General features: G+C 45.4%; 2 protein-coding genes across 8 annotated transcripts in view, besides 3 other annotated features; one reads left to right on the top strand and one right to left on the bottom strand.

Annotated features, from left to right (window-relative positions):
- The window catches only part of FAN1 (FANCD2 and FANCI associated nuclease 1), a 39,257-nt gene that overhangs the window by 14,003 nt on the left and 11,169 nt on the right, over positions 1-14,085 (top strand). For 4 of the 6 annotated variants that reach the window (XM_011521370.3, NM_014967.5, XM_024449874.2 and 1 more), the window contains 8 exons: positions 310-441; positions 2,691-2,799; positions 4,381-4,500; positions 7,273-7,437; positions 7,935-8,085; positions 10,699-10,802; positions 11,349-11,543; positions 12,689-12,817. In XM_011521370.3, the coding sequence (XP_011519672.1) occupies positions 310-441; positions 2,691-2,799; positions 4,381-4,500; positions 7,273-7,437; positions 7,935-8,085; positions 10,699-10,802; positions 11,349-11,543; positions 12,689-12,817 (1,105 nt within the window). Of the gene's footprint in view, positions 1-228; positions 282-309; positions 442-2,690; positions 2,800-4,380; positions 4,501-7,272; positions 7,438-7,934; positions 8,086-8,753; positions 10,554-10,698; positions 10,803-11,348; positions 11,544-12,688; positions 12,818-14,085 lie in introns of those variants that run through there. The other 2 variants (XM_047432250.1, XM_011521372.3) reach the window with 2 other exon arrangements.
- The window catches only part of MTMR10 (myotubularin related protein 10), a 72,913-nt gene continuing 59,689 nt past the window's right edge, over positions 862-14,085 (bottom strand). Inside the window, exon 15 of one of the 2 annotated variants that reach the window (XM_011521737.4) lies at positions 862-2,069. In XM_011521737.4, the coding sequence (XP_011520039.1) occupies positions 1,992-2,069 (78 nt within the window). In that variant the 3' untranslated portion in view covers positions 862-1,991. Of the gene's footprint in view, positions 2,070-8,700; positions 10,957-14,085 lie in introns of those variants that run through there. The other variant, XM_047432771.1, reaches the window with a different exon arrangement.
- Positions 4,584-5,525: an enhancer, noted in NCBI's record as "OCT4-NANOG-H3K27ac-H3K4me1 hESC enhancer chr15:31214641-31215582 (GRCh37/hg19 assembly coordinates)". NCBI's record gives its function as "activates a minimal SCP1, AML or CMV promoter by ChIP-STARR-seq in naive H9 embryonic stem cells {active_cell/tissue: H9 hESC(naive)}" and the evidence as "EXISTENCE:reporter gene assay evidence [ECO:0000049][PMID:30033119]".
- Positions 5,526-6,466: an enhancer, noted in NCBI's record as "H3K27ac-H3K4me1 hESC enhancer chr15:31215583-31216523 (GRCh37/hg19 assembly coordinates)". NCBI's record gives its function as "activates a minimal SCP1, AML or CMV promoter by ChIP-STARR-seq in primed H9 embryonic stem cells {active_cell/tissue: H9 hESC(primed)}" and the evidence as "EXISTENCE:reporter gene assay evidence [ECO:0000049][PMID:30033119]".
- Positions 9,818-10,318: an enhancer, noted in NCBI's record as "H3K4me1 hESC enhancer chr15:31219875-31220375 (GRCh37/hg19 assembly coordinates)". NCBI's record gives its function as "activates a minimal SCP1, AML or CMV promoter by ChIP-STARR-seq in naive H9 embryonic stem cells {active_cell/tissue: H9 hESC(naive)}" and the evidence as "EXISTENCE:reporter gene assay evidence [ECO:0000049][PMID:30033119]".

The raw sequence follows: 14,085 nt of genomic DNA on the forward strand, positions 1-14,085 counted from the left end.
ATGGATGAATGAATGGATGAGTGCCAAAATCAGGAATGATGAGCTGATCCATATCACATTTATAGAATGGAACATGTTATGTGATAATACAGCATAAATGTTTTTATCTTTCTAGTTGGGCTTTCTTATCAGTTCTGGGCCACTCCAGTGATTTGGTTAAGATAAATTATTATTAGAATAAAATTTAAGTGGCCCTCATATTTTAAAAAACACACTTTTACCTTTCAGAGTGAGATCTAGTGGCTAGGATGTGGTCATTCTATGGGAATGCTCATTCTTATTTGGAACTTGGATGGCATTTTCCTCCAGATATGCAGCAGCCACGCACATGCTGAGTGACATTTCTTCCGCAATGGCCAATGGGAACTGGGAAGAAGCTAAGGAGCTCGCTCAGTGTGCAAAAAGGGATTGGAACAGACTGAAAAACCACCCTTCTCTGAGGTGAGAGTTTTTCTAGGTACCTGCCAAAATTTATACATTGACCAAGTTGTTCCCAACACTTACAGTAATTTTCTTCATGAAGAATATACTCCTTTTTCTCTGTGGTTAAACCAGCTGTGGAATTGAATTTTGTGCGTGCTTTGCCTAGAATGAAAGTGCTGTGTGAAATAGAAGGAAATGTCTGAAGGTTTAAAGTGAATTTGATATAACTCAGATCCCTGGGCAACACACATGCCAACCCCATACTTGACTTGTCGCATGCCAACTGTAGGAGTGTTGGCCTCCCTGAGTACTGGTGAGCTGAACTGAAACGTGAGGGAAGCCAGCAGCAGGACGGATGTGGGAAGCATGGTAGGTGGGTTCCTCTGAGGGAAATTCAAGTAGGTGTTAAAAACTCTGCAAAAGACAGCTCAAGCGAACTTTCCAGGTACACAGCACATGATCTTTTATTTTGTTGAAAATGGTAAACATCTTCAATATTTATTAAGACATTTTTTCCTTTGTTGTTACATAGTGATGAGAAAAATTAGTATTTTCAGATGCCACTTTGAAAAAATCATTTAGGATATACAGTTGACCCTTGAATGATGCAGGGGTTGGGGTACCGACCCCTCAGACAGTCAAGAATCTGTGTGTAACATCTGACTTCCCCACTACTTAATTAATAGCTTACTGTTGACTGGAAGCCCTACCGATTACATAGTCAATTAACACACATTGGATATGTTATATGCATTATATGCTGTATTCTTACAATAAAGTAAGCTAGGGAAAAGAATATGTTATTAAGGAAAATCATAAGGGGGCTGGTACGGTGGCTCACGCCTGTAATCCCGGCACTTTGGGAGGCCGAGGCTGGCAGATCACCTGAGGTCGGGAGTCTGAGACCAGCCTGACCAACATGGAGAAACCTCGTCTCTACTAAAAATACAAAATTAGCCAGGCCTGGTGGTGCCTGCCTGTAATCCCAGCTACTCGGGAGGCTGAGGCAGGAGAATCACTTGAACCCAGGAGGTGGAGGTTGTGGTGAGCTGAGATCACGCCATTGCACTCCAGCCTGGGCCACGAGCAAAACTCCGTCTCAAAAAAAAAAAAAAAAAAAAAATCATAAGGGGCTGGGCGTGGTGGCTCATGCCTGTAATCCCAGCACTTTGGGAGGCAGAGGTGAGTGGATCACTTGAGGTCAGGAGTTCGAGACTAGCCTGGCCAACATGGTGAAACCTCGTCTCTACTAAAAATACAAAAATTAGGTGGGTGTTGTGACGAGTGTCTGTAATCCCAGCCTCGGAAGGCTGAGGCAGGAGAATCACATGAACCTGGGAGACAGAGGTTGTAATGAGCTGAGATCGCACCACTGTACTCCAGCCTGGGTGACAGAGCGAGACTCTGTCTCGGGGAAAAAAAAAAAAAAAAAGAAAATCATAAGGAAGAGAAAACATATTTACTGTTCGTTAAGTGGAAGTGGATCATCATGAAGGTCTTCATCCTTGTTGTCTTTACAGCAAATAGGCTGAGGACGAGGAGAGAGAGGAGGGCTTGGTCTTGCTGTCTCAGGGGTGGCAGAAGCAGAAGAAAATCCACATATAAGTGGACGTGTGCAGTTTAAACCCATGTTGTCCAGGGGTCAGCTGTATATTTATAGAGAAATAATATTGACTTAAAAATCACAAGAAGTTAGATTACTATAAACAGAGGTTGATAAACTTCTGTAAAAGGTCACATAGTGAATATTTTAGGCTTTGCAGGCCATATGGTTTCTGTGGCACCAACTTTACTCTGCTGTTTTAGTGCAAAAGCAGCCACAAGAAGTACGTATGCAAATGAATGAGCCTGGCTGTGTTCCAGTTAACTTCATTTGTGGACATTGAAATTTCAGTTTCATACAATTTTCGCATACCAAAGTGTATTATTCTCTTTATTTATTAACAATTTAAAAACATAAAAACCATTCTTAGTTTGCAGGACATAGAAAATCAGGTGGCAGACCCTGGGTTTGGCTGTGGGCCGGAGTTTGCTGACCTTGGTTTAGAATGATGAGTTCTCATCTTACTCCACTGTCTGAGTGACCTAGGACGTGGTAGCTGGCTGTGAGAATGTAGGTTTGTGGTGTAGAAAATTGTACACAACTGAAAGTATTTAGAATATACCTTTTTAAAAGATAGGAATTCAGTCTGCTTTGTCACTTGTTATTATTGTCTTATAATAAATTAACCAAATTATTAAACTACTGGTATATGTCTTCATTTTAGATGCCACGAAGATTTACCACTCTTCCTGCGGTGTTTCACTGTTGGGTGGATTTATACAAGGATTTTGTCTCGGTTTGTGGAAATACTGCAGAGACTTCACATGTATGAGGTTAGAGCACAGGTCCCTGCCCCCCACCATTACTGATGTGATGGCGTTAAACATGTGAAGGGACAGCTGTCGGGCTCTCAGCATTTCCTGCTTATTTGGTTAGCACACAGTAATATAATGGAGGCATATTTGTTTTGTTTTGTCTTTTTGAGACAGGGTCTCACTCCATCACCTAGGCTGGGGTGCAGTGGCAGGGTTCAGCTTACTGCAGCCTCTGCCTCCCGGGCTCAAGTCATCCTCTCACCTCAGCCTCCTGAGTAGCTGGGACTACAGGCGTGCGCCACCATGCCTAGCTAATTTTTGTATTTTTAGTAGAGGTGAGATTTCACCATGTTGCTCAGGCTGATCTCGAACTCCTGGGCTCAAGTGATTTGCCCACCTTGGCCTCTGATGCTTTGACAGTGGGGGCCTAAAGTGTTGGGATTACAGGTGTGAGCCACTGTGCCTGGCCAACGAGGGCATAGTTAATGTAGGCAGCCCGCTGTCTCTTGGATTAGTAGAGAGAAGATAGGTGAAGATGGACAGCTGTTCTGTTTGCCTGTGTGTTGATGAATCTGTGTCCCAGGATGGCCTGGGGGTGGCGGCCACCATCCTGGAGGGTGCCCCACAGGTCTGCAGCCTGAGCCTGAGTCTCTTTCAGAACTCCTTGTGAGACTTGGCAGGTCCCCAGAAATCTCTGAGGGACCTTTTGCTTCCTTTTGCTTCCCTGTCAGCTGTCATGGATTGTCTGGAGACAATTTATAATCACAAATCAGAAATTTGTCGTATCCTAAACTTTGTGAAATTGCTAGATTTCACTTTTGTTGTGTTTGATATTTCTATATTGAAAATGTTATCTCCAGACCAGGCATGGTCAAAAATATATATATACAAAACAAGAAGAAAAGAAAATGGGATCTTACAAAGAGGATGTGCTAAGCTGGTTTCTTGGCCTGGGGTCTGTGAATCCCAGGGGAGTGATGGGTGGGCTTTGGGGAAATCTGTGAATCTCAAACTTGCATGTGTATGGGGATTTATGCATTTTTCTGGGGTAAATCATTCCATATTACAAAGACATCCATGAGCCACAGAAGATTAACAAACAGAATGACCGAACAGTCTGTACATAATCTAGACCAGAGAATGTTCCTGTTGAGGTAGGGTGTTTGTATGAGGACACCCCTCATTACTTTCCTGCCCACCCCAAATCCCTCTTGCAGTTGGTCCTGTGACCTGCTGTGTTCCCAGAAGTATGTGGGTTTGCCAACTGTGACCAGTGCTCAGCTGCCTGGAACTTGACCCTGTGCGACTCTGCACTGGTTGACTGGTTTGCAGATAACACTCTGCAGCACTCACAGATGTCTGTACCCCAGTGCCAGCTGGCAGGGACCGGGTGAAGAGTGAGGATGCCTTAGGGAACTCATGCCCACTCCAGAAGGCACCTCAAAGTCCCTGTCCTGTCAGTTCGGGGTCCTTGGCCTCATTGTAGAATGGAAAGATACGCATTATAAATAGGCTTTACCAATCCTATGGGCTTGTAAATATCATTGCAGCTGGATTTTTTGTGAATCTAATGAGGTTTCTTTGTTATTGTTGCAATAGGAAGCCGTCAGAGAACTTGAAAGCCTTTTGTCTCAGAGAATTTATTGTCCTGACAGCAGAGGCCGATGGTGGGATCGACTGGCCCTTAATTTACACCAGCACTTGAAGCGCCTGGAACCGGTACTCAGTAACAAAACATATCTGAAACACCTTTTCATTTTAGAATCAACTTTTAAAATATGGCAAACTTAATGCCTTAAAATTTACATGTAATTAGAACATGTATTTCTTTTGTTAACATTCTTCTTTTGTCTGTGTTCTTCCAACCCCAAAAGAATACCAGGGATGCCAGCACAGCATGAGCATAGAGACTGGAAGCTTTTGTCTTCTCTTTGCTGATTGGCGAGATGGGCTTACTGTGGACTCTGTGCTGGCATTTAGGAATCAGGATCTAGGAATTAAGGGAAAGGGAGAGTCAGATGACTCAGCCGTCAGCAAGTCAGCAAGTGCCTTCAAGGAAGGTGTTTGTTTTGGAAATGGTGACTTTGTTGATTTGTAGCACAGGGTCTCTAGGTAGAAAGATTGGCGAGAAAGCGTTCCTTTCCCTATCTTATTGCAGGTCCTTTATGCGTGACTCTGTACTTCTGTGAGGTGTTTTGCTCTGCCATTTGGAAGCGTTGTTTGACCTTGAGCAGGCACCAGTGCTCCCTGTGGTGGCGATCTAGGGGCACTTGGAAGCACAGGGATTCTGTGGCCACCACAGCCAGGCGGGTGAGGCCGCAGAGCCTGTGCCTGTGGGCTAGGCAGCAACAGTGGTTCTTTGTGTGGCCGCCAGCAGGCCCCTCCCTGTCTCTATTCCAGCCCTGCATTTGAGTTGAATGGAGGGGACTGTGCCTCTGGGAGCTTTTGATTTTTTCAGTGGCCCATTAAGTGAATCAGGGTGATGTAGGGGTGGAAAAAAACGACCACTGGTTAGGAAATATGACATCTTGTTTTTATTGCCGTAAACTGAAAAAGTGCCTTGTTACCTCACGTATCAGGGAAAGAGCCAGTAAAGCTATTTCCTCTCATGGAGGAGGGTGTGGGGCTTCCTTACCACTCGGTGTTTACTGAGGCTGAAATAGCAAGAGAAAGCATCTGGTAGCCTAGAACCAAATACAGAAGGAGAAAGCTTGTGTTTCTGTCGCCTTTCTTTCAATGAAATAAAAGTTCAAGAGAGTACAGATTTCCCCTCTGTTCACAGTTCTGCTAGGGGGTAGACAAGCCACTGAGCTTATTTTTGAGATTTGAGCTAAGCCTAGTTCCTCCTAACCTCTGTTTCCAGAGGTCTTACTGGCCATAGCTCTTGTTATTTCATTAGTGTTCTTTGATCTTTACCTCAGTCTCCAGGGAAGGGATCGCCTAGCTGAGTGCTAATTCCTGCAAAGTGCTCTGCAGCCAGCCCCGGCCTGGCCAGGGCAGAGGTGGAGCCAGCTGGGCCCTCCCTCTCCGAGGCCAGGCTGCCGCTGCCCGGCACCGTCTTCTGCCAGCGAACAGGGTGCCCTTCAGAGTCTCATTCTCCCATCTTCATTTCCTTCAGCCACTCAACTCTGGATGGCCTGAGCCTTCACTGATTTTCAATTTCTTGGTTTTTATTTTTTCTTTCACTTTTTATGTTTCTATTGTGGTAAAATAAATTTAACATCCCTAAAATACAGCATTTTAGCCATTTTTAGGTGTACAGTTCAGTGGCATTCATGGTACTCATAGTGTTGTGTGACCATTGCCTCTCCACTTACCACTCCAAACAGAAACACTGCAGCCATTAGGCAACTACGCCCCGCTTTCCCTTCCCCAAGCCCTGGCGACGACGTCTCATCTACTTTTTGTGTCTGTAAATGTGCCTGTTCATTTCATTCATTTCATTGAAGTGGAATCCTACGATATTTGTGGTTTTATGTCTGGTGTATTTTGCTCAGCATCATGTTTCTGAGCTTCACCCGCATCGTGGCACATGTCAGGACTCCGTTCCTTCTCCAGGCTGAACACACTTCCACTGTAGCATCTGATACCACATTTTTCTAGCCACTCATTGGTTGATGGACACTGGGTTCCTTCCACCTTTTCGGCCATTTTGAAGAATGCTGCATGAACCTCTGTTTCAGTCCCTGGTTTCAATTCTTTTGGGAATACCTGAGAGTGGAACTGCTGGGTCCTGTGGTGATTCTGTGTTGAGCTTTTTGAGGAGTGGCTGAACTGTTTTTCACAGTGTTTACACCAGTGTCACATTCCCACCAGCAATGCGTGAGGTTTCTGGTTTCTCTACCTCCTTGTCAATGCTTATTTTCCATGTTTCTGATTATAGCCATCCTAGTGTGAAGTGGTATCTCCTTGTGGCTTTCTGTGTTTGTTTATTTGTCTGACTCTGAATCGCCTTGGGAAATACTTGTAATTCCTCCAAACCTTTGGCTCCTGTCCCTGTAAATAAGGAATCTGAAGCAGCTCCATGGTTCTTGACTGCATATGAGATTGACCTGGCGCTTTGATGTGGCCCCCATGCGTGGGCTCCTGCTCTGGAGGTTCTCATTGTGTGGATCCGGGGTGGGACACATGTTTTCCTACAAAGCTGCCTAGGTGATGTCCTGAGAACCACTGAGCTAAGTTTTCCTGTAAAGTCAGGTACCCCTGAGGTTCACACCCTTTGTGAGGGGCAGCTGCTGGGATCCACTGTCCACCTGGATTACAGCCCGGTCACGCTCCAGCACGTTGACTGTGAAGGCTCTGGTTGCCAGATGCATTGAAATCCTCAGAATAAGATCTAAGGAAACAGCCTAAATCTCTAGAAGTGCTGTTTGCTCATTTGCTAATCAGCAAAATTCAATAATAAACAGTGGGCTTTTCTGTCAAACTAAATGCATGGAAGCCGCCATGGGTTTTTTTAGGAGCCTGATGTGTGACCATGCTCTCTGCCAGACTATCAAGTGCATCACAGAGGGGCTGGCGGATCCGGAAGTCAGAACGGGACACCGCCTTTCACTGTATCAGCGAGCCGTGCGCCTGCGAGAGTCTCCGAGCTGTAAAAAGTTCAAGCACCTCTTCCAGCAGCTCCCAGAAATGGCTGTGCAAGATGTGAAACACGTGAGGAAAGAGCCTGTGGGTGCTTTGGACTTAGGCGCGTGTACCTGGTTTTTTTGGACCAGAAGCATCCTAAGAGCTGTTTTGAGTGTGTGTTTTCTTTTAGACTCGGAATAATCTAAAACTCGTTTTGGACGGCTGTGTGGCCATTGCTCCCAGTCTCCCCCTAACGCCCTCCTCCCTGAGGAGACTGGGTTGCTTGGTGTGGTCACACCCTGGGTTGAGTGACAGATCTCCTGAATGGGGCCTCTCAGCATCTGCCCCGGTTTCATTTACTCACTGGGGACCTGTAGAGCAGTTCTGGTGGTTGAGGCTCTCCCAGGGCCGGACCAGCGAACTGTCACATCCCCGCAGTTCTGCGTGTGTGAGCCCCACGCTGTGTGCTCTACTAAGTGACTGACTTTGTGGTAAGGGAGGTCAATCCTCACGATGCTACAGGCAGGTTTTCAGGGACTTTTGCTGACCTGAGGCTAATAGATGTTATTCTGCTGCTGTTTCAGGTGACCATCACAGGCAGGCTGTGCCCACAGCGTGGGATGTGCAAGTCTGTGTTTGTGATGGAGGCCGGGGAGGCCGCTGACCCCACCACGGTCCTGTGCTCTGTGGAGGAGCTGGCACTGGCCCATTACAGACGCAGCGGTTTTGACCAGGGTAACTGAGCAGGCTTTCTCTTGTGGCACCCAGCCCCGGGTGGACGAGCAGCAGCACTGGATGGGCTGTCAGCAGTGGGCTGCTGTCCTCTCTCTGTCCTCTGCTCACAGTGGAAGATGCTGTGGGCTGGGGGATGTCTTCCTATTCTTCCCCTTATCAATGATAAGGAGTAGGTCAGGGGTAGTTGTCCCACAGGGCCTGGCTCTGATCTTTTTTCTTTTATAAAAACTTATAAAAGTTATGGAAGGTACTGCACAAGCCTTTGTACAGAAGTCAGGGGGACAGTGTGCTCAACCCCACGGACACCCACTTCCATTCAGTGTTCCTTCTGTTCTCTCCTGCCCCTTCCCTGGGATTTTAGAAGCTGGCCCCAGATATCCTCTCAGGGGCCCTGCGGCCCATGCTAGTCGCTTTCGGGAACAGCCACTGAGCCTTCCGCCCTTGGGCCTGGCAGGACTCTCCCTGTGCCCGGGCTGCAGGGTTACCAGTGTTAAAAACACTGATATTTTCAGATGTGTGAAAATCAGGACATGATTTCAGTATTCCCCGAGTGTTCGGAAGATTAACAAGTACTATAGAAAGACAACCACAAGATAGGAGTTTACAAAGCCCAGGTTCTTTCTGATGAGTGTTGAGATTCATCTACATAATATCTTTATTACTTACAGGGAAGGGTGATGTTATTGGGGAAGACGTGCAAATGCCAGTGAAGACAGAGAGATACAGTAGGCCTGAAATGGTTAGAAATAGAAGAATAGAATGCACATTCAAGGCCCCGAGAGACGTGGAAACTGGACACTCGCTGGAGGAGGAAGCAGGCTGGGACGTGGGAGCGCTGAAATGCTTTCAGTTGAGCCATGAGCCTGAAAAACACACGATTCCTTTCCCAGAGTAGAAACTATTTTTCCCTGATTAAAATCGATGCCGTGAAACTGGGCTGAACTCTGGCTGCCAGGCTTTATGCCACAGGGAATTTTGTGTCAGAGCGATCTCAACCTCTTCTGGGAGGTGATTTCTGAAGTACTGCACCAAAAATGATTTCACTTATAACACAAATGCACAGCATGGACCACTTAGGAGTTAAGGAACGAACCAGGCACGGTAGCTTACACTTGTAATCCCAGCACTTGGGGAGGCTGAGACAGGAGGATCACTTGAACTCTGAAGACGGAGGTGGGAGGATCTCTTGACCCCAGGAGGTCAAGGCTGCAGTGAGCCAAGATTGTGCCACTGCACTCCAGTCTGGGTGACAGAGTGAGACCCTGTCTCAAAACAAAACAAACAAAGGAGTTCAGAAATGATCTGGCCTTTATATTCCTGCCTGATCGTCAGTGTATTCACCAGGACGGAACACTGACTGGAAATCAGGTCCTAGCTCCACTCCTGGCTGGGAAAGAGCATGAAGTGTTCTAGGAAGAAAAGTCCTCCTGGAAGACTTGGCAACAGCCAGGAGTCCTGAGTGAACCGCTGTCCTTTTGAATCCCTGAGACGGGCTGCAGGGATGAGGGGCTAGAACTGACAGGAAGACAGGACAGAGAGCAGCACAGCCTCAGAAGTGCAGGACAGAGGTGACCCAGGCAGGCATGACGGGCTGTGGCTTCCTGCCCTCTGCTCTCACAGCACCCCTGATCCCACTCACTGTGGTACCACGCAGATGGGTTGGGGCCTGTAAATGTCAGGTGGGACCAGCCAGAGGAGCTTTGCTGCCAGTACTGGCATGTCAGGATGGGGGTCTGGTGGTCAGCACCTCCTCTGGCCAGTGGTCTTGTGGGGAGAGGCATCCATGTGGCCTCCTCCTCTGTCGGGAGGGCTGATGTGCAGAGAAGTACGGACTTGGAGGGCAGCTGGATGAGCTGGGGCTTGCTCAGGGACACAGGTCTGTGTGTTGTGCCAAGGCTGACCCCCTCATCCCACACCAGACCCTGCCTCTGACTCTGTGACCTCAGCACCTGACTTCTGTCTCTCAGGTCATCTCCCAGTCAGTAAAACATTTGTGTGACGTGAGGAGGGGCACTGAAGTGGGTGATCTTTAAGGCCAGATGTCTCTGTAAAAGCCTTGACTATCGGAAGCACTGGGCTAGGGCAGTGTAGTACCCAGGGGGATGAGGTGCATCAGAGCAGCACCTGCTGAGGCCAAGAACGGAGGTGGCTGCTGCCGGCCTCCGGGAGGTCCCCTTAGGGAAGCATTTCTTCAGGGGTGGCCCAGGGACCTCCGGCATCAGGGCCTGCATGGGGATTCTGTGCCAGCCCAGCCCTGCTAAGTCCCAGCCTTGGGAACCTGAGGAGGGTATCTGCCTATTTTTCTTTTAAACATGTTTCTTAGGTTATTCACTAAAGTTTGAGAACCACTGCTTTGTGGCTTTGAAATGTTCATTTGAATTTTTCTATGATTACTAAGATTTTTGCCCTTAAGGCTCTGTATATAAACAACATACTGTATAAAATAAACTGGGAATGGCGTGAAAACAGCATTTGCTTCTGAATCTAAAATATTTCTATTATTTTCTTGAAATTGAGTGTGCAGTAGGTTATGGTGGTGTTTTGGAAGAAACAGATAAAACAGATTTTGTGTGTGTGTGTGTGTGTGTGTGTGTGTGTGTGACCTTGTCTTAGGGATTCATGGCGAAGGGTCCACCTTCAGCACCCTGTATGGCCTCCTCCTGTGGGACATCATCTTCATGGATGGGATTCCGGATGTCTTCAGAAACGCCTGTCAGGTACTCCAGTGCCCCTGCCCCACGAGTAGGTCCTTCTGCACACATCCGTGGCTCACGCCCACCTGGGCACCGTGTGTCCACAGCCAGCAGAAACCATCTCTGTTACGGTCCTTTGGGTCATCCACAGGTCAAGATGATAACTTATTTTAAAAATCTGAGTAATAGAATTTAAGATGTAAGTATGTGAAGTTTTAAACTTTAATTTAGCCTCCACCTTACATTTAGACCTTTCGTATAAAGTACCATCAGCATCAGCCCTCCCGAGCACCTGCCGTGTCGCAGGCACTGTGCCAAGGAGCTCACAGACATGGGCACATCTGCCTGTTCAGAGGTCCACCCAGCTAAGCGAAAAGCTGTTTTTGCAAATTATTACTCTAAAAAACAAGTTTAATAAATTGCTTTTATATCAATTAACTTTTACTTATCTTTTGAGAGAAAGAATGTATCGGTTGGCCGGTTTCCAAGTTTTGTATGTACTGACTAGTCCTCTGGTGAACACGGCTCTCTGCAGGCACAGTATGACAGCTTGCTTTCCCTGTGACACAGGCATTCCCCCTGGACTTGTGCACAGACAGCTTCTTCACAAGCAGACGCCCAGCCCTTGAGGCCAGGCTGCAGCTGATTCATGATGCCCCCGAGGAGAGCCTGCGGGCCTGGGTGGCAGCCACGTGGCATGAGCAGGAAGGCAGAGTGGCTTCCCTTGTCAGCTGGGATCGCTTCACGTCTCTTCAGCAAGCTCAGGTAATGGTTCACCTGCATGGCAGGATTTGCTCAGAAAGTTAACACCGCCCCAGTGCTGTCTTTTCAGCAACTTTATCAAAATACACATGTGTGTATATGTAAATACATGTATGTGTGTGCATATATATGATATATAGTATATATCATATATAAAATATATATTATATCTTTATTATATTTATTATATTATATATTATATATTACATATTACATATATAATATATATTATATATTATACAATATACAATATATAATATAATATATGAAATATATAATATATCATATAATATATATAAAATATATATTATATCATATATAATATATATAAAATATATAATATATTATATCATATATAATATAATATATAAAATATATAATATATTATATCATATATAATATAATATATAAAATATATAATATATTATATCATATATAATATAATATATAAAATATATATCATATATAATATATATAAAATATATAATATATATCATATATAATATATAAAATATATAATATATATCATATATAATATATAAAATATATAATATAATATATATCATATAATATATAAAATATATAATATATAAGATATCATATATAATATAATGTATAAAATATATAATAATATATATATTAATATTATATAAATTATATATATGAGAATACCCTATCCCCCTGGCCCCAATGCCACTGTTAGTGATGGAAACATACTAGGGTGTTAGAAAAGCCCCAGCTGTGCCTTTGCCACCCCTGAGTTGACAGCTTTCTTTTGCTTGCCCTGTGGCTGAGGCAGGGAGGATACCTTCTGTGTTCCTTCAACTGCTGCCCTCTATGAGGCCATGCTGTCGCGTTCCTGAGTGCATCCTCCACATCCCTCTTCCTCAGCGCTCCCCAGCATGGCCACGCTGGCAGAAGCCTGGAAACTGACCACAGGAGGACCAGTCTCCCACCACTTGCCAGTGGGATTCCAGCCATGGCTCTGCAGCTCTGGTACAAGCAGCAGAACAGCGCATGGTGGGCCTGGGGTCCATGTGCACTGAATTACATATACACTGAGCTTTTCTCCGTCTCGTGATCCCTGGAGCCTATTTCCATTCTCTGTCACGAGGGAAGTGGCTAACTGTCCTGTGTTTTGTGTTCAGGATCTTGTCTCCTGCCTGGGGGGCCCTGTGCTCAGTGGTGTGTGCAGGCACCTGGCTGCTGACTTTCGACACTGTCGAGGGGGCCTCCCCGACCTGGTGGTGTGGAACTCCCAGAGCCGTCACTTTAAGGTCAGTTGAGGCAGAATGGAAAGTCCTGTTGGTAACCTTATTAGCAACTGAATCAGAGGCCACAAGTAGGCATTTCTTGAGTGGCTGTTGGCAAGATTGAATTCCTTGAGAGCTTTTGGGCCGAGGGCCTGGGTTCCTGTGGGCCTGTCCCCTGCGACTGGCTTCATCAGAGCAGGCGGGTGAGAGGAGCCCCAGAGTGTGAGCAAGACAGAGCTCCATCTCTTATGACTTGATGTGGACATGATGTTCCATCACTCCTGCTGTATTCTGTGGTTAGGAACGAGTCTCTAGTCCAGCTGACACTCAAAGGGAGGGGGTCACAACGGGTGTGGACACCAGGAGCTATTTTAGAAGCTTACCGATAATTGTACATTTTAAAATGACTTAAAGAGTATAATGGTTTGTAACTCAAAGGATAAATGCTTGAGGGGACAGATACCCCATTCCCCTTGATGTGCTTAGTTCACATTGCATGCCTGTATCAAAACATCTCATGTACCCCATAAATATATACATCTACTATGTACCCACAAAAAATTTTTTAAAAAGCTCAGAGAGTGAACACTTCCTTGAACGCTGTCCACTAGCCCAGCCCTGCTGCCCATCACTGGTGATTTGTTTTCTCATTATTGAGTTTTGAGATTAAAAAATTATATATCCTGGATACAAGTCCTTTATCAGTGACATTTCATCCCAGTCTATGGCTTGTCTTTTCATTTTCTTAATAGTGTCTTTTGAAGAGCAGAGGTTTCAAAGTTTGACAAAATCCAACTTATTTGTTCTCTAGTGGATCATGCTTTTGGTGTCACATGTCAGAAATACTTGCCTAATCCAAGGTCACAAAGAGTTTCTCCTTTGTTTTCTTCTAGAAGTGTTATAGTTTTAGGTTTTACATTCAGTTTTATGATCATTTGAGACGCCATTTGTATACAGTGTGGGGCATGCACTGGAATTCATTTGTGGTGTGTGGATATCCACTTGTTCCAGCTCCATGTGTCAAGAAGACCATGCTTCCTCCACTGAATTCCCTCTGTATCTTTGTCAAAAATCAGTAACCCATATATATGTGGGTCTGTTTCTATATACTCTTCGGTTCCATTGATCTGTTTGTCTGTATTTCTTGATTATTGTAGCTTTAGATACATCTTGGAGTCAGGTAGTGTAAGTCCTATAATGACTTGTTTTTCAAAGTTGTTCTGGCTCTTTTGCATTTTTATTTGAATTATAACATCAAATTTTAAGTTTCCAAGAAAAAAAAAAGCCAGCTG

Source organism: Homo sapiens, chromosome 15 (assembly GCF_000001405.40).
Source record: "Homo sapiens chromosome 15, GRCh38.p14 Primary Assembly".
Classification (NCBI taxonomy): Eukaryota; Metazoa; Chordata; class Mammalia; order Primates; family Hominidae; genus Homo; species Homo sapiens.